Below are 18,981 nucleotides of genomic sequence, written 5' to 3' on the forward strand. Positions count from 1 at the left end.
AGGCTACACAGAGAAGAACATGCTTTAGGTTCTCCACAGCCATGGATCTAAATGTGCCTTCCAAAAAGCTGAAAGTATTTCAGTTTTTTGGTTTGTTTGTTTTCGCTTTTGAGATGGAGTCTCGCTCTGTGTCCTATGCTGGAGTGCAGAGGTACAGTCTCGGCTCACTGCAACCTCTACCTCCTGGGTTCAAACGATTCTCCTGCCTCAGCCTCCCGAGTAGCTGGAACTACAGGTATGTGCCACTACACCCGGCTAATTTTTGCATTTTTAGTAGAGATGGGGTTTCACCATGTTGGCCAGGCTGGTCTTGAACTCTTGACCTCAGGTGATCCACCCCCTCAGCCTCTCAAAGGGCTGGGATTACAGGTGTGAGGCACCATGCCCAGCCAGAGCTCAAGTATTTCTCCCAGCAGCTCTAGACAGCTTTAGAGCCAAGATACTGAGCCAACTTCTGCTCTTCACCTTTAAGATTTTCGTATTTAGGGCCGGGCACCGTGGCTCACACCTGTAATCCCAGCACTTTGGGAGGCTGAGGCGGGTGGATCACCTGAGATCAGGAGTTCAAGGTCAGCCTGGCCAACACAGTGAAACCCTGTCTCTACTAAAAATACAAAAATTAGCTGGGTGTGGTGGCGGGTGCCTGTAGTCCTAGCTACTCAGGGGGCTGAGGCAGGAGAATCACTTGAACTCAGGAGGCAGAGATTGCAGTGAGCCGAGATTGCGCCACTGCACTCCAGCCTGGGTGACAGAGTGAGACTGTGTCTCAAAAAAAAGAGAAGATTTTCGTATTTAATGGCTGTAATAAAGAATGCATGGTAGAGCAAGTGGGCGAGTTTTATATCTATGGAATAAAACAAAGGTATGATGTGGAACCAAGCCATTGCTGGCTGCATCATCTCTGACTTTAGCTAGTCTGAGCTCTCTCTTGCTTTTGTCTAAGTTGGCCTAATTATTGGCAGATGAAGCTCTGTAAATCAGGACTTCACAGAGCAGTCCTAAACTGTCTTAGGTACTCTTCCCATCTGACCCGACAACTCTAAGCTACCGTTTCCTCACATTGTTTAACTCAGACCACATTTGGAAGCATTCCTTGCTTCTCCCCGCTCATAGACCCACATCTGTCTGGTTTAAATCTGCTGTCCTGGGTTGTCTTGTTGCTGGGACTTAGACTCAATATTTGGCTTAAATAATTCTTTTTTGTCTCTGCTTTGGTTTGCTATTTTCCTAGATCAGTATTGCTTTTCAAATGGTTATATATTATTGAGACCTTTTTTGTAAACTACATTCATCAGCAGTGAGAAGCTTTAAAGTTTTATTAGTATCATAAAAACCCTTCCCAAATGAAACTACTTTTGATAAGTGTTCATTCTGACAATGAGAATTTGTTGAGGGCTGTTGGCAAGTTGGAGGAGTTGGCTTTTGAAACTGAAATTGGCAGGAAGTAATGACCCCCAGTGCTTTCTTTCTCTTGACTCCAGCCTCACCCTTTCCATGCACTTCTTTCTCTCCCCAACCCCACCTTCATTGCCCCCAAGCCAAAGCCAAGAAATAACATACTTGGTTTCATATAGTTTTTCTGGGGACAATTCAAATACTGAAGCAGACTTTCAGCCTTTCAGCTTTTCTGAACTGTGGAGCAAAGCCTGTCAAGTCAAAGAAAAAAAAAGTATTTGTCAAGCACTTCATGAAGGGATTCCTTGCCTTCCACCTGAAGAAGTGGGAGCTTTTCTTGTAGTACACATTGTCAGATTCCTGTGAGCATCTTCTTAATTGAATGTCAAGATTCAACTCAGTTGCAAAAAAATAGTGAGTAAAAAAAGCATGATGCCTGTGGAAAAAGAAAAATCCTTATTTTTTCCCTAATGTGAAGAAGCTGACAGACGAGATGGCCACAATCTAGATGTTAGCCAATTTCTTATGTTTATTAAATGAGAAAGTGCAGGGAAAGAACATAGAACCATGCTTAGCACTTAATGCTCAATCAGTGAAAACTTACCCATTAACTATTTTCCCCTTCCCATTGGGAAGTAATGCTAATGAGAAAGACGACACTTCCATACAGAAGCACACCCATGTGCACTGCGGTGCGTCTCGGCTATGTTATAGCTATCGCGAATGAAACCTAAAAATCAACTGCTCACCTTTCAGACTGGATGACTCCTTTCAAATATTATTTATTTGGTGGACAGGAAATGTGTAGATAGAATAATGGTGCTCAGACTCTGAATCCACATAACAGTTTCATCAACCATTTGATGGTGCTCCCCTCAATGATAAAAATAAACAATAAACTTTTTATTGACACTTACAGAATGAAGCTCGACTGAGAATTGTAAAAACTCTTGAAGACATTGATCTGGGCCCTACTGAAAAATGTGTGAGAGTCAACTCAGTTTCCAGTGGTCTGGCGGAAGAAGACCTAGAGACCCTTTTGCAATCCCGGGTCCTTCCTTCCAGCCTGATGCTACCAAAGGTGGAAAGTCCTGAAGAAATCCAGTGGGTGAGTAGCTAATGCTTTGCCTTAAGACTCAGGAGCAGCTAAGGAGGAGTAGCAGGAAGAAGGGATCTGGGTGCCACAGGTTTGGAAAATGCATGCAGAGAGCAGAGAGGAAGGGAATTGAGAAAAAGCAGTAAGCTCAAGTATCCGTTTCTTTTACACAAGGAAAACTCGCCTTTGCCCAAAGTGTTCTATGAAACAACTGCACTTTTGAAATGATGCTTCGCTTCCTAATTGGATGTGTGGTTTGGCCAGAACAGCCTCCTCAGTAGCCCTCCCAGAGTAATCCCTGGAAACTAGGTTGCCCGAGAATCTCATCCCTTCCTCCACCCTGCCCGGCCCTAAGCCAAGGCCTCCACCTGGAAGAGCAGTGACGTAAATGGCCCTTACTGAGATTCATCTGAAATCATCCCAGGCAGGGAGGGCACATTTGCCGCATATGAAAAAATGAACCCAAAGAAGGGGAGGAAAAGGTCACTCTTTAGGGCAACTGGAGGAATGAACAGGAAGCTTTTAACTAGTGGTTTCAATTAGCACTGATATTATTTCCTGAACAGTTCTCTAGTGCATCCTTTTTAAATTGCTGACAGGTGTGTTTGTGTTTCATGACAGACTTTTCAGCCAATAAAAACCTGAAATGTAAAGTGGTTGGCATGTCAAATTACTTAAGAAAACTTTTGAAATAGGCCTAATTACACTATGATTGTTTTAATTGACAAAGGGTGGAGGGGCTAGATTTTATTTGAGGGTCGCTATTATTCTGCAGATCTCTACTGAATAAAATAACATTTCACTGTGTTGTTCTGGGACAGAAAATGTGTCATTCTGGGCCCTGTGAGGTGTGAAAACTGGAAGCGTTTGTGGTCGGGGCGAGTGGGCAGTGGTGGTTTCATGGAAGCCACATCTAGTATTATCTCTGAGGCTGTGGCTGCCACCACAGCAATACCCTGAGTTGTTGTAACACCTACGAAACTGCTCACCTGCTGAATGCACCCGATGTGTGAGGTCTGCGTTGCCCAGTGCCACGGCCACTATGACATGTGGCTTCTGAGCATTGAAACGTGGCCAGCACAAATGGAGATGTGCTGGAAGTGCAAAATACACACTCGATTTTGAAGACTCGGGACTCACTGAGGGGACAAAAAGAGAATGTAAACTATCTCGATAATTTTTATATTGATTACACATTGAAATAATATTTGGGATCTATTGGGCTAAATACAAGATACTATTAAAATTAAATTCACCTGTTTCAGTTTACCCTCAATGTAGCTACGAGATAATTTAAAATTATTATATGTAGCTGCTGCTATACAGTTTCTTTTGGACAGCTCTGTGTTGGATCCTTCTTGAAGACCCGTATTCAAGGACCAGTTATTTATTGACTAAGCTGGAGTTCTTCTCTCCAGGGTTACCCTCAGAAGCTGGGAGATACTAGTTAAGAGTATGTTAATATCCTGGAGGGTCCTGAGCCCATTCAGATATGTCTTAAGTTGATTGAAATGGACTCTGAAGTCACTGTTCCCTTTTGGTTTCATAGTTAATGCCTATTTATCACCGTTATTACCTTTAACTTAAGATGGGGGAGGGGGAGACCCAGCCAGCCTTCCGCTATGGCTTCTGTTCACTGTTTTAAATCCTTGGAAGTGAGACACATACAGAAATTTAAATAGAACTTCTAGTTAACAGAAGTCCTTTTGGCTGTTTATTTTTTCCTCTCCGTTTGTATTTATGCGAAGCATAAAACCCAGAGCCTGATGCACAACTGAAAGATGGGCTTACTTGTTTTCTTTTGTGTGAGAATCTCTTGCTCGCCTTTTGTCGCTAGTGTGGGTTCTTGTTTGACTGGCACGGCTTATTGGACTATAACAAGCGTAACCCTGCCTCCTTTGTCATGGGACAATTCTCCCACAAATCCCGAACAGTGTGCATTCTTCCAACACACTATTGGGTGTGCACTGGAATTGAAAGAATCGCTGAGCCCTGCTACTTCATCTCCTCCCCAATCTCTTTGTGATTTCTCCCCCTTCTTCTCCTCCCCCTACCCCAGTCCCCTCCACCTCGCTGAAATGAACACTTTACCAGGCCGGAAACATTTAATCGTCTCCTTTTGAAAAAATTAATTGAAACTTCTCCACTAGTTACCTTTTGTGTTAGTACTTAGTGCAATTTTTTAAGAAAGAGGGGGAGGAGGAGGAGGAGGAGGATGGGCTAGAATATTTAATTTTTAAATGCCCCTATTGGCTTAAAAACAAAAGGCATTGGGGTGTTCTCACTAAGAACAGGGAATATATTGTAAAGTGTTGACTTGGTTTTAAAGTCCATGATTTTTGTAGTTATAACTGTCATCACAAAGAATGGGGCAAGTCACTTCACAAGTTTTCTTTTTTAATGAGAAAAAATATCCCTACTACATTTTTAACACCAAAACCACTAATACTGTGCTACCACTTTCTAGCATAAATGAGAAATAAATTATATTTTATTTTCATCTACATCAAATACTATACATTTTATCCCCTTAAATTGTCACCCCCTGCTCCTTCTTGCTATTTTGGTTGAGTTATTCCTTCCCTTGAAAAGTTACTAAGGAGGTGATGATGATGCCCTTTGAAGGGGGGGCAGTGGGAGCAACTGGGAATAATTCTTCATTACTGAAAGCTGTGATTTATTTTAGCCTAATTGTAAAGTTACTGCAAATTGCTCAAAAGCTTTTTAAAGATCCCAGTGATTAGATTTTTTAGGGGGGTGGTGCACCGGCAAGGAGGGGGCAGCTAGAAGGGGAAATAACACCTCTAATCCCGCTTCTGGTAAATAGGCTGCCAGCTTTTCAAATGAGTTTCCTTTCTATTAGTCAGAATATTATGCTAAGCCTTAAGCATTAGTTTTTTTATGTTGCCATAGCAGCCTTATTCCTGCAGGGTGGTGACCTGTGATGATTACAGTACAAAGCTTATAGGGTCTTGAAACCCCCTTTGAAGATGAAAAGTCTTTGATGGTTTATATTTATGCAAATCTCTTAGATATGATTTACCCAACTGAGACTGAATGGAGAGATGATTAAAATTCCCTTTTCCTTTGATATCTATTAATGGCTGAATATTCCTTAAATTTAAAATGGATATATATGTTTTCATCTTTATTTACAAAAATACCTTTATCATACCTGTGTTTCTTCTCTATCTATCTCCCCACATCTTATTAGATCTAGATAGACATAATAGATTTACAATTTAGAGTGTGTTTTTTTCCCCCTTTTGAAGAGGGGGAGGAATCTGGGCAAGAGCTTTTGTATGTTTCCAGATGATAGATTTTGGAATTTGGGCTACCCCACTGGCAGCACAGAGCTAGCTGTGAACTGGTCTCATGGAAAAAATTGGCGAGCTTTGGTCTTCAAAGAATTAAACTTCCTTTTTAAGGTCTTCCTAGGTAAGCTAAAAAATTATGAAGAAAAACCTTCTGAACAAAGGGTAATGGTGCTATAATGAATAATATGGACTCCACGTAGAAGGCTGCTGAACAGTTGCACTGATGTCAGTGCTGGGCACGAAACAAAAACAGAATGGCAGGTAGAGGAAGAGTTCATTGTTTTAAGGGCCTACCATTTGCATTTAACGAAGCGAGGGCAAGAGGTCTTAAGTAAATGCGTTTTCAGGGAAAGCGTTTATACTCTCTCCTTCCAGTTCTAACTCCTAGGCCTCAAGTTGCTCCTTTGGGAGAAAAAAATTGTAATGCTTAGGATTTTACTATTTAGTTTGGTGGGAACTTCATTACCTTTTTCTTTGGACTTTCTTCTTATTTTTTTAAAAAAATTCTTTTGTGTGGACGAAAGAGGCTTGGATATTACTTCCTCAGGTCAAAGACTTAAATACTACTTCTGGGTCTACATTTCCGTGATTGTACATTTTTTCCCCACTAATCACCTATGACACTTCTGATTTTAGTTTGCAGACAAATTTTCATTCCACTTAAAAGGCCGAAAACTTGAACAACCAATGAATTTAATCCCTTTTGTGGAAACTGCAATGGGTTTGCTCAATTTTAAGGTAAGGAAGCCATAATACGGTTAATAAGTTAGCATTTTATTTATCACCTAAAGAGAACTTTTGCTTTCAATTTTAACATCTTCTTAAAATGTGTTTCTAGAAAGATTTATAAGCAAAGGAAATGTTGAGCACCATTTGTTATCTGTAATAGTCCAAAAACCAGGTTGCCAGCATCTTAGAAAACAATGAAATCAGTTAGGTAGAAGGAAAAGCTTCCCAGTCCAAAATATTTAAATGAAGCATTTGTATATTCCTAGTAACAATTTTAACTAATCACTGTGTAATTATATGCTTTGAATTATTGCATTTATAGACTAAATGTACATGAAAATTTGTCACCCTTATGAATTAACTTTGAAATGTTCTTTTCTATCAAATGTCTTTTCAGTGGGAAATGTTCTGCCCTCTCTGTAGCAACATTATCAGTAATGTCTAGCAGAGAAGATTATTGTTTGTAAGTTCATGCACACAAATAATTTGCAGTACAGTTTTTCAGTTTGCCACATTAGAATATCTTCTAATATACATGCGGGAATATTGGCTGAGCCAAGTGTTTTCAGCCGTTGTGTGGTTGCACTAAACTACCGGTCTTAACAAATTCAGAGCTAGCTCGTTTTTTCTCGTTTATCAGGGGGCATTTATATTATTTTCCAAAATATGCCTCTCATTCCACCTGACCTGCGAACATCAATCTAGCACCCCCTTTCAGAGTTCCTAGATTCCCTTCCCCCACCCCAGCCCCCACAGAGGGCAGGAGAAAAGAAATCACTAAAAACAACAGAAAAAACATAGTCGAACTGTACTGGAGAGAGAATGTGTGAGCGGCAACTTTGAGGCCTTGGGATGTGCAGAAGGGGTCGAGTGCAAATGTTTGGGGACCTGCTTCAAACCTTGTCCTGTGAGCAGCTTGTTTACACAACTAACCATACATTCTTCCAGCCAGCCCCAGAATCCTGAGAATATAATCAAAAGCATATCCCTAAGATGCAACCAGATTCATCCAGTGATTTAATTTTAAGCACTGCTTCGCCATTTTATTCCATAATGTACTTAGAAGCACTTACAATGTCTGAAATTAATCAACAGTGTCCCCACCGGTTCCTCGTTTCTTTCCCACCCACGTATATTATTAGCAGGTTATATCTCCACCTTTCAAGATTCACGGTTATGTCTACGACGAATGGTATTTGCCTTGACTTTCATATATAAATGTCGAAGTTGCTTTATGAACACATCTTGGATGACTTGTTGCATTTTTATTTTCCCCTCCGGAGTTGCAGGTTTTTGTGCTGTCTTTAATCCTGAGACCATGTGCTTGATCCTAATGCAAATAATTCAATTAGTTTGATTTTAAAATTCCTTCCTTCTCCCCTGTGGTTTTACGAGAGTCTCTTAAAGCAAAAACGAATTCTGGAAAGATATAAATAACTTATAGTGCAAGCAAAATGAGTTAACTCAAAGTTTCTCCAAAAATGAGATGAACTACAATTTGAACATTATAACTATATTCATATAATCCATTAAACAAAGCAAATATATACAATATACTTATCTTGGATGATATTAAATACCTTTTGAAAGGGGTAAATTTGGGCTGCGTTTTTAGGACTGCTTTCAGCCAAACTGTGTTAAGAGTCAGGTCGTCCTGTTACTGAAATGCACCGTGCCTCTTCCCTCTGACGCACGCGTTTCCGTGAGACTTAGTTCTGTTCTGCTCTTTTACAGGCAGTGTGTGAAGAAACCCTGAAGGTCGGGCCTCAAGTAGGTCTCTTTCTAGATGCAGTCGTTTTTGGAGGAGAAGACTTTCGAGCCAGCATAGGTGTCAAAGACATCTCTCTCTCTCTTTTTCTGTGTGTGTGTGTGTATATGTGTGTATATATTTTTTCTTTGCCCCTCAAGGATGGACATTTACATAACAATGTATATTTGCCAACCATGACAATGGTTTTTCATGACAATGGAATGGACACTACTTCCTGATAATTTAGGGCTCCTCATAGCTGCCCTGCTTCTAGAGCACTGCATTATTACTTCTGTTCATTTATAAAAGACACGAGCAATAGAAAGCCTGTTGCAGCCCCAGGCATGCTCAGGAATATATGGCATCTCCTTTGCTCCTAATAAATATATTATGTGAACAGCCTCACCGTTGCTTCAGTATTTTGTTTTCATATCAGTCTGTGGGCTGTCTAGATTTCTAACGCAAATTTAAGGCAATTTCACATTTGCCTTAATGAATTGTTTTCTACAGAATATGCGGTAGGTAAATATTATTTTAAATGGATCTTAAATTTCTCTTACAATATGTTTCGAACTCTTAGTATTAAATGTGCTGATTTTCACCGATTCTCACCATCCCTTGTGAGCTGCACTTGAGGGGTCTGCATGTTTGACTGGAGACCGTGAAGCATTTAGAAAAGAGGCCGAGGCCACAGAAACCAGCCCCAGTGACCTGAAGACAGGCACTTTCCCTAGGCAGGGAGTGGCATGTTCCAAATGTAAACAGGGACACTTCCCTCCCCTCAGGGTGAAAAAACTGAATTTATTTGAATACGAGTCTTTCCAGGAGACTTGTGTATCCAACGGTTCAGCGGGCTACAGAAGGCATATCGATGCTTTCCAGCCCTCTCAAAACAAGTGCCCTCCCGTCTCCCCAAGTTCTCCATCCAGACAGACCCTGAAGCTGAAGCATTTGGCTCAGAACTTCAGTTTGGACAGGGCAATCGCAGCACACACAGTTCTGTGCTTGCTGTGAAACACGAACCATTGCCCTGCATAGCTGCTGGGCCACCCTTTGTGGTGCTGTCTTTGGACTGGCACTTTTCAAGCGATGATAAGAAGGAAAAAAATATATCAGGAGTCCCTTGCGACCCTGACCCAGCCTCCCAGAATGGGGAAGGGGCCTTCTCTTAATGCAGGTAGAAGTAATTCTATTGAAAGATGCCTTGTCAGTTAAACAGACACATTCGAGGTTTAACTTGGCCTCCACGCGTCCCTGTCTTCATTTGTATTTCAATAATTTTATTTTGCGGAGGAGCAATTTCCAGGGAGGTTTAGATATCTGTACAAACTGAGGTTTTATAATAAATATCTGGGTGCGGTTTCCAAAGTTAAAGCCTCCTTTTTCTGTTAACATCCCATTTTCAGGTGCAACAAGTAGTAAAGAAACCCTGGATATTCTCTACGCCCGGCAAAAGATTGTTGTCATAGCGAAAGCCTTTGGTCTCCAAGCCATAGATCTGGTGTACATTGACTTTCGAGATGGAGCTGGGCTGCTTAGACAGTCACGAGAAGGAGCCGCCATGGGCTTCACTGGTATGATTCCTGTCTTAGAAAGCAGTGTCTAAATTAGCAAGCATTCCAGAAAAATAGAAATTTGACCCGAAAACACCCCTAATCTCATCAGATATCTCCCATACTTACTCCACTATTTGAAATATGAGCAAGTCACACAGGGGAAGAACTTGCCAGACACATTGTCATGGTTTTCCTTGGCCCTGCAAGTCAACAAATCACTCATTTTATTTCCTCTTTATATTAGTTGCTTTTTTTTTTTTCTCTCCATCCTCTTAATCATTTTGTTGTAGTCTTGGCTGACCTGTAGGGAGGGATGAGGCTGCTCAAAAAGTGTTTTTGAGTGAACCGCCATAAGAATTTTGGTTGATGGACAGAAGAAAAATCTCCTAGAATATCCAAAATTTAATTCATTTCTGAAAAAAAATGTTGGTGATATTGTCTTTGGTTTTTGTTTTGTTTTTTACTCATAACTAGTTTTTTGCTCTTCTGCCACTCCAAGCCCCTCCTCTCTCTCCCACCTCCCAGTAAGTGTCCGTGTACCTGGCGACACCTACGGGCATAGGCTGGCACTAGGATCAGCGGGTCCCTTGCAGTCCGGTCTGGGGCACAGGCGGGTATCTGTTGATTGGTGTGCCTGGTCACTCAGGTCCCCATGAGCCAGGGGAGCAACAGAAAATTGTGTTTTTACAACAGAGATCTATTTTTCGAAAAACCACAATAGGAGTCTACACACAAACATACACATGGAGTTGCACACACACAAACTGACAACCATGGGAAAAACACAGTGCACTCCTTCACTCTTACCTGTTCTTCTGTTGTTGAAAGTTCTAAGAATATTAATATCAGAAAGGCACCCGAATAATTAGGAAAAGAGACGAGCATCCTGATATTCCTGTTATAACTGTTTTTGAAATATATCTAGGTAGCGGTTACCGAAAGAAAGGTTTCATAAAGCAGGCTTAAACGTGAAAAATATCTTAATGGATGATGATTTAGTCCAAAATAAAACTGAATGACCTAAGAAGCTATTCTAGTGTTATATTCAAATTAAATAAAGCTCTGAGTTTGTTCTTGTGTTTTTTACACAAAGAGCTAAAATAAATATGACCCCCCCCAATTTTTTAAATAAGTGTGATCTCGTATAGGGAAATACTCTTCAATTATCTGAACTATTAATAAACGAATTCTCCCTGCGTTTCATAGCGACTGAGGAAGAAAGGAGTCCTCTGCCACATCCATGCAATTGTGCTTGTTCCTGCCTCTTTCCAACGGCTGGTTAGGATGTGACCCAAATGGAAAAGTTGGAGAAAAACTCCATGAAATTTATCTAATAGACCCTGATGTTGTTGGCCTGCAATGTATGGCACTGGCTGCCAGGTGGCCAGATGTTGCTCTGAAATGGGAACTAATTCGATAAAAAAGAGAAAGCACTGCATCGACACTGGCCCCTCCACCATCACCCAGCAGAATCTGAGTTTCCTCTGCCTCCTCTGGGGTAAATGTTTGCCCCAGAACTTCTCTGGGAGCTGGAGAGTGTCTCCAAGATACAGGACTGAATTAACTTGGCCCCTAATTCAATCGCAGAAGACAGGCTATTTCAAATCAGGTTTAAATTTCTAGACTGTGCCCAGCTCAGCACGAGAAGCTTATGGACCTGGCACTATTGTTTCTCCACGACGGGGAGTATTAAATCGCTAAAAAAAAAGGGGGGAAGCGAGGATAATGGGAAGGCACAGAGGGCACAGTGCCCATTATATATTCAAGGGAACGAGGCCATAACTAGGGAGCCACACTTCGTAGGCAGTTTGCAATTTTTAGAAAGTCTTTGTTGCCCCAATTATATTTCTGCATACCAATAAGAGGTAATCAATCTGATAATAAGATAGATTATTTGTAGTCATTTTTTAAATAAATGTTTTTTAATGAGTACTTTAGACCACTCAGGATGTTTGTCCTAGTTGTTTGGCATTTGATTGCCATACCTTGGGCCTTGCACAAGGAGAAGAAAAAGAAGGAAAGAAAAAAAAGGAAAGGAAAAGTGGGGAGGAGAGAGGGAGGGATGGAGGAAGGAAGACATGTCTTATCTGAAGCAGGTGGTTGAAAGGTTTAAAATCCAATGAAAGTATTGTGTTATCCATAACGCTGGTAAGGAAGACTAAGTCTGTGCTATAAGGATTGCCTTTACTTTTAAAAATGATACATATTTTTAATGAGTTGTAGTTTTTAAAAGTTAGCTGTAGTTTCTTTTCTGCGGTCGTTTCCCAGAGTCACAGTCCATGTCGATTGATTTTAAATCAATGCATTGGCTGTATAAATGGCCATTAACTTTAGGAAATTTTTTATAAAAAAGAAACCAAAACTAAATCTTGGAATAAAGCTTTAACAGCTGACTTAGTCATTACAGTTACTCCAGTGCTACATGCTGAGAAGAAAGATTATAAATATGAAGCACTATAGGTTTTCTTCTTTTTTGCAGTCTATTGTAGAAGACAAAAATGACACCATCATACAGTTACCTAAAAGACTTGACAGGTATTGATTTAAAGCACGATATATCAAGCGGTACTGTAAAAAGGATTTCATGGTCATAAATTTTAATGTCTTCCAATTTTGCACCCTCTCAGTAACTTGTCAATAACAACTCTTTTGTATAAAATATTTGCCTGGTTCCCACATGCCATTAAAGTCTGCTATACAGTTGTTGGAATATATAAGATGTGACAAAAGAGAACTTCACATATGAACGTTCACACATTTCTAAAACCTAACATGTATCTTAAAATTAGCCTCATTGCCCAAATATAGGTACTGGAGGATGGAGAGCTAGCAGTGATTTCACAGTATTTTAAGTAGTTTATGTTTTGCTCCTCAAATTATAGTGCATGTACCAAGAAGTTCCCATGAAATCTGGCTTTTTACGCATTGGTGTAAATTATGTACATAAATTATGAAATTCAGGGCTAACAATTAGGAGGAAATGACTACCAGAACTGACATCCTTTATTAACAATATCCCGACAACTATTAAATTACTTAAATATAATCTCGATACCTACTACCGAAAAAAGCCCTCTTGTCATCCCTCATGTTATTCGTTCCCAGAAATTATTCCTCAGGTAATTTAAGGAATCTTTACTTATATAAGTGTTTAACATTTTATTAGTATGCTGACAGAAAAGAATGAAATAGCAATGTGAGGATGTTTTAATTATGCCATTGGAAAGAAAAGATATTATTATATTTATCCACTTAAACTCTTTTACATGAAACACTAAAAATATGTTTTTACAAGCATCATTCCTTTTTTCATTCTAATAGAATAATGACAATAGGAATTGACAGCAAGGATATAAAACATCAAGGATATAATTTCTACTGTCTAAATGTTAAAATAACTATTTCAAAAGCAAAGCAAACTGATATACCAACAAATATATTCAGCAGAGTAAATGATCATTAAGTGTACATTCATTTTTAAAGAGCCAATTATGTTCATAACTTTATCACGTAACAATATAATCTCATCATTATTATAACATTAAATTATGTTGCATTTTATTAATGATCTGATTGGATTCTACACTTCCCTGATTGTTAAATTGTTTTTTTAATGACTGCATTATTTCACAAAATCCTGTGGCTCTTATCTTTGTGTGATGTTTTCATTTAAAATCTTTCAACTATAAAAAGAATCATAAATCTTTTTGGAAGGTATTTCTACAGAGATAAGATTTCTTCTGGGATATGTAGGGTGCTATAAAGAGGGAAATACCCAGTCTTGATTCTATAAGCCAAAAGGGAAAATCTGGGTATATTTTTGGACAGAGAAACTTTAAGTATTTATTTTTTAATTTTTAAATGGAGTAATCTAAGGCTGCAGTGTTCAAATCTGCCTTCTATTTTACCATACTGAATAAAATATTTTCATTCAAATCCAATTTTCTATTGGGGGTTAGAATTGACACATAAACTGTTCATTTAAAAGAAAAACAATTAAATATACTATTGTAAAGCTGTATTTGATAGTAATATAGTTGTAATGACTGCCTCTGTAAGCTTTATGAAAACCAGCAGACCATTTCTAAGAGAAATCATGGAAAGAGGTATAATTCTACAAAGAAAGCAAAAGACACCTTATAAAATTTGAGAGAATTCTCATTTAATTTTTTTCTACTTCAACTCAAAATAATCCCTCTAATTTGCAGACATTATCCTTTAAAGTCCCAGCCAAAGCAGTTATTCAACAAGCTGCCTAGTCAGCCCACCTGTAACTAAAAATAAGAGATTATCTGCCCTAAGGTGGCATTTCTATAGGATCGGAAACACAATTACTTCCATTGTTGTAGTTGTGCTTCTGTGGTATTCTGGAAAAGCCTGTCTGATTGCAGGTTTTGTTTGTTTTGTTTTGTTTACTCAATAAAAAGTTTTAAATTAGTTATTTAACATACAGTCTATGAGGCCTTCAGGAACCTCACGCGATAGAAACATTTTGTTTGAACATCTGTTCGTTGTTTCGTGGTTCCGATGTTATTAATATTCTTGTAGGTAAGCAGGTGATTCACCCTAACCAAATTGCCGTGGTCCAGGAGCAGTTTTCTCCTTCCCCTGAAAAAATTAAGTGGGCTGAAGAACTGATTGCTGCCTTTAAAGAACATCAACAATTAGGAAAGGTAAATGTTTTGTTAATGCCTTGGGTGAGAGCAGTATTGAAAATATTGTCGGGAAGAATGAAACAAATATGTTGTGTGAATGGTTTAAGAAAACTCATCGTATCTGGAGAGGGGGGAAAGGGAGGGAACACAACATTCACCAGTGAGAAAATTGCTTGAGATAGATTTGCCCTGCCCATGTTCCTAAATACTTCACTAACTGGCTCTCAAGTCCCTCATTTTATTCTTTTCATAAAATATATTGGCAGCCTTAGAGAAAATAGAAGTCTGTTTAGTTTTTCTCTACAGACTTCTATGCAGCATTCATATGAAAATAATCCTAGATCAAAGTGAGAACAAGTTGTAATGAAATAAACACAGTTTGACTAAATGGTTCTTGTGGAGGAAAGAAATAAATTGCAAGTTATTTTAATTTGGGGGGAAAAAAGTACAGAAATCTCCTCCGGTTTAGTCATTTAAGAGTGGGAGGTTGTATATGTGTTTGTACCAATTTCTGGACCTGAGATTTGGATGGAATGGAAAGCAAATTAACACTGGAGTACGGTTGTTCCTAATTTAGTGCATCATTGAGCCTCGCGTTTCCTGCTCTGTGGGTTTCTGCTATGTAAATATTGCAGTGGTAATGCACAATCTGTCTCCACTTTGTGCCAGTAACACTTAAATTAGGTGTCGCCTGAAGGAAGATTTTATGCTAGTTGCAGCATTGTCAGTTAATTATCTTAAAGGTTATTTGCAATAATACCGTTTGCCTCTTTTTAAGAGGATAGGAGGGAAAGTTACATTTATAAATCTATCCTAGAGGTAATCTCTAAACTCAGCCTGTGACTTCCAGAAGGAGTAAAGTTTTGATACCTATAATGCAAAATTACTTAGGAGAAAGAATATTGAAAATTTATTACAGTTCTGAATATTAAACATTCCCCCCTGCAAAAAAAAAAAAAAAAGAAAAAGAAAAACTGGTTTTTAGTGGTGACCCTGAACCTGTGACATCCATGTGAGACATGTCCCTCGCACTTTTCACTGGCAGCAAGGACACCTGAAAATCCCAGGACTTGCCAAAGTGGGCAACAATATTAAATGGGTCATTCCCTAAGGATGTCCACATTCAACCCATGCACACATGGGCACACTCACACACCAGCAGGCTCATCTTTGTACAAACTCACACTTAATCTCCAAAGGCAGAATATATTACGTTGGAAATACCCAATTTGGACTTACACCAATTTCATGATAAATAGCATCTTTCCATTTCCCATCAACAGTGGCCATCAGAAAAGTAATGCATTTCATAGAAACAATATTTTAAGTTGACCTTGTGTTTAGTGTCCATTTTTGTGTCTTAACCCCAGATCAAGATTCCCATGAGTAAATCTATTCACCTAGAACGAAGAGCCACGGACTCTCATTCACATGTCCATCCATCCCCTTCCCTTGCATACCTGCCCACGCATACCCACACCGAATGCTCTATACCTCTGCTACAAGCCTTGTGCCAGCTGAGGACAGGCATGTCATAAACACCTCCTGGTGAAATAGGAAACTGAGGCAGCATGTGGACCATTGAAACGAGAGAGCAGAGTTCCAGTCTGGGCCAGCACTGTGTCTATGACCCATCCCAGCTGGGTTTCACATTGGGTAGCATCAAAGGAGGGCAGTTGGCATTGTAAGCAGATAGGGGTGTGGGAGAGTTTACCCTGAATTTCAGTAGCCAACAAACAGAAGTCAAACCAGAAACACTTGCTTTGCTCAGCATTTAAGTTTTTGAATGAGGAAAATGGCCCTTTTCCATTGTATCTTGAAAAGCGTTGTTCCCTGGGAAAACGCTCCCAAAGTTTTCACACCTTTTGATGATGGCAACTTAAATGTTCAATTCTGGACTTTTTTTTTTTTTAAATAAGAAATGCCCTCTCGTTGGGGCATAAGCTCTCACAACAGTGTGGCAGGATGGCTTTTCTTAACACAGAACCATAGAAATTAGAGCAGAGGGGAGACTAACTATTAGGTAATTTCTTCCCTGCCCCATTTGTGGAGGTTTGTTTCCTATAGCAAATTCTCCTGGTGTTTTGTCCAGCAAGGTTGAAATGATTCAAGTAATGGGGCTTCCAGTAGGGACATATGGTTATTTTATCCAGTTAGCATGTTTCTTTCACTTTGCCTATAAACTGGCCGGTCACAGAAATTGGATCTGCAGGTAGGTGACTCTGGATCTTGAGGGGATCTTGGGGTTTAAATAATGTGGGTTCTGTTTGTAAAGATTTTGTGTAAATAGGTTGCACAATTATATAAAGTATTGCTTCCAACAAACATCTAGTCTGTTTTATGTCAAATGTGAATCACTGATGAACACGTGAACCCTCAGATATTTTGTCCAAAGCACAGATGACTCTCTCAAAGATAGGAAACTGATGGTTTGTGTCCTAGTGTGACAGTCACAAATTTCCAAAAGACCTTTTTCCTCCCTCTGATGAAAATTTCATTCAAGTAATGCTTTTAAGTAGAAATGACCCAAGAAGGAAAAATTATGTATCTTTGCTTTTCTGCACTTCTTCCTGCTCTCATCTTAAATTATATCCTGCCCAAACATAAAGGTATAGCTGAAGTTCACAGTTAGCCAAACATAAAGGTATAGCTGAAGTTCACAGTTAGTGCTGAGCCATTTGTGTTTTCTATAGTAATAATCATTACTATTATTCAAACATAAAAGCTCTACCCTTTCTTCCTGTCCTGTCCAAATGGCAAAATTCATGGGACTACTTAGACCATGAGCAGATAAATTATTGGAGTTCAGACTTTGGTATTACAGAATTTTGGGGATGTTTATTTTAATTAAAAGTCCTAAGGAAATAAAGTTTGGTGTCCTTGGTATAATGTTGGTTGACAATCACTTTACATTAAAACAAATAACAATCAGCTCATATCATCTGTCCCTGTTTGGCAGGCAGCGATTCTTGTGGCTGCTTTGTTTCAGGAAACTGAAAGATATTTTCAGGCTAAAAAATTTTGCTTGGCACCGTAGTCCAGTAATCAGAGTTAGGGCTAGAGACTGACACTGGGGACTCTAGGTTATCTTATCTTATTAAAATCTGTTGGAAAAAGTTTAAAGATTCCAAATAATCTCTGCTCCTATGTTAATTCCCAGAAACTAAAATGTTTTTAATTTAGCTGACATCAGCTGTAAGGTTTCCATCCACAATATTAATCAAACTGACTTTCTTCCATCCTTCCAGAAAAATGTTTTTTGAGATACAACGTGCATACCATTAATTATTTTAGTTTCAAATTATTTGGTAAAATGCTTTAGGCAGGATAAATCATTTCCACATGATTTGTTTTAAATTTATAAAGGATTTTCTTAAAAGTTAATTCCATTTTTATGTCTTTTTTTATAATAATGGTGATTCCATTAATATTTGAAAATTCTTCATTCAGAACTGAATTTAATATGCTTATTAAAGTAATAGGATTTCAACAGTTCTTTTTTATCAATAAAGAATTTTATATACTGTAAAAATTGGATACTTGAAAACATCTCAAGCAAATAATCATCTAATATTGATATCAATAGAAATAATTTTATATAAACACATATAGCATACATGTTTATACAACATATAAACATTCAAGTATGTATGATAACGTGTATTTCCTCAAATCTATATTATGAGCTTAGTGCTAAAGTTTTTATCTTTCCATATTCATCACTCTTAGGCAAAAATGACAGCTAAAGGAAACAGTCAGTTGCTTTTTTAAAACAGTCACTAATCACAGGAAATGTTAATATAGGAATTTACTATTTCTTTCCAAATGGAGACTCTAACAGAAGAATGCGAAGGAATAGCACAATATATTACGTGTGTCAAAATTTTAAAGATACTCTGCTAGAATATTCATATTTTGCAGTATCTGGCTACAAATATGGCTTTGCTTCATTTTCAGTTTTCCAGACATTCTCTTTGATTCATATCATGGCTGTACGTGCTTTGTTTGGTTTTGGAAGGATTTTGTTTGGCTTTTTCAATATTTCTCCTTCGTTATAGCTTCACAAGTTGGCTAAAGACTGAGGAAGGGGAAGTATTCATCTTTAAATTCTAGGTTCAATTAACAATTACAAATGTCAGAAACAAGATCACTACCTGGCCTAACAACTGTAAGCATCACGCAACCAACATTCTCATTTCACTCAGGAGAGAAAAACAGTGCAAGCTGATAAGTTCACATTAGTAAGCACATCTTCTGCTGGAATATAAACTGGAAACATCTCTTAATAAAGAAAGAAAAAGGAAAGTAAGAGTTTTTTTCCTTATGTAAGTCTCTTCATCTAGAAACTTTACAAACAGTAATACATCCCTCCTCCCAAAATATTGAAAGCCCATCATTTTCATAGGTGTCTGATTGCTGCTCGCACACCTTTCATTTCTGTTTCCAAATGCAAGGCTTTACAAAAGAAATATTGCTTGGTCCA

At 38.7% G+C, this 18,981-nt stretch overlaps 1 protein-coding gene and 1 long non-coding RNA gene across 11 annotated transcripts in view; one reads left to right on the forward strand and one right to left on the reverse strand.

Annotated features, from left to right (window-relative positions):
• The window catches only part of CLYBL (citramalyl-CoA lyase), a 302,755-nt gene that overhangs the window by 249,857 nt on the left and 33,917 nt on the right, over positions 1-18,981 (forward strand). For 6 of the 10 annotated variants that reach the window (NR_104592.2, NM_001393356.1, NM_001393359.2 and 3 more), the window contains exons 3-7: positions 2,315-2,503; positions 6,445-6,546; positions 8,272-8,365; positions 9,694-9,861; positions 14,392-14,516. Coding sequence is in view for 9 of the 10 variants with exons in the window: in NM_001393356.1 (NP_001380285.1) it covers positions 2,315-2,503; positions 6,445-6,546; positions 8,272-8,365; positions 9,694-9,861; positions 14,392-14,516 (678 nt within the window). In the remaining variant the exon portion in view is untranslated. The remainder of the gene's footprint in view (positions 1-2,314; positions 2,504-6,444; positions 6,547-8,271; positions 8,366-9,693; positions 9,862-14,391; positions 14,517-18,981) is intronic. The other 4 variants (NM_001393361.1, NM_001393360.1, NM_001393355.1 and 1 more) reach the window with 1 other exon arrangement.
• The window catches only part of CLYBL-AS3 (CLYBL antisense RNA 3), a 216,296-nt gene that overhangs the window by 115,677 nt on the left and 81,638 nt on the right, over positions 1-18,981 (reverse strand). The gene's annotated exons all lie outside the window — the stretch shown is intronic.

The sequence above is a fragment of the Homo sapiens genome, chromosome 13 (assembly GCF_000001405.40).
Source record: "Homo sapiens chromosome 13, GRCh38.p14 Primary Assembly".
NCBI classification, from domain to species: Eukaryota; Metazoa; Chordata; class Mammalia; order Primates; family Hominidae; genus Homo; species Homo sapiens.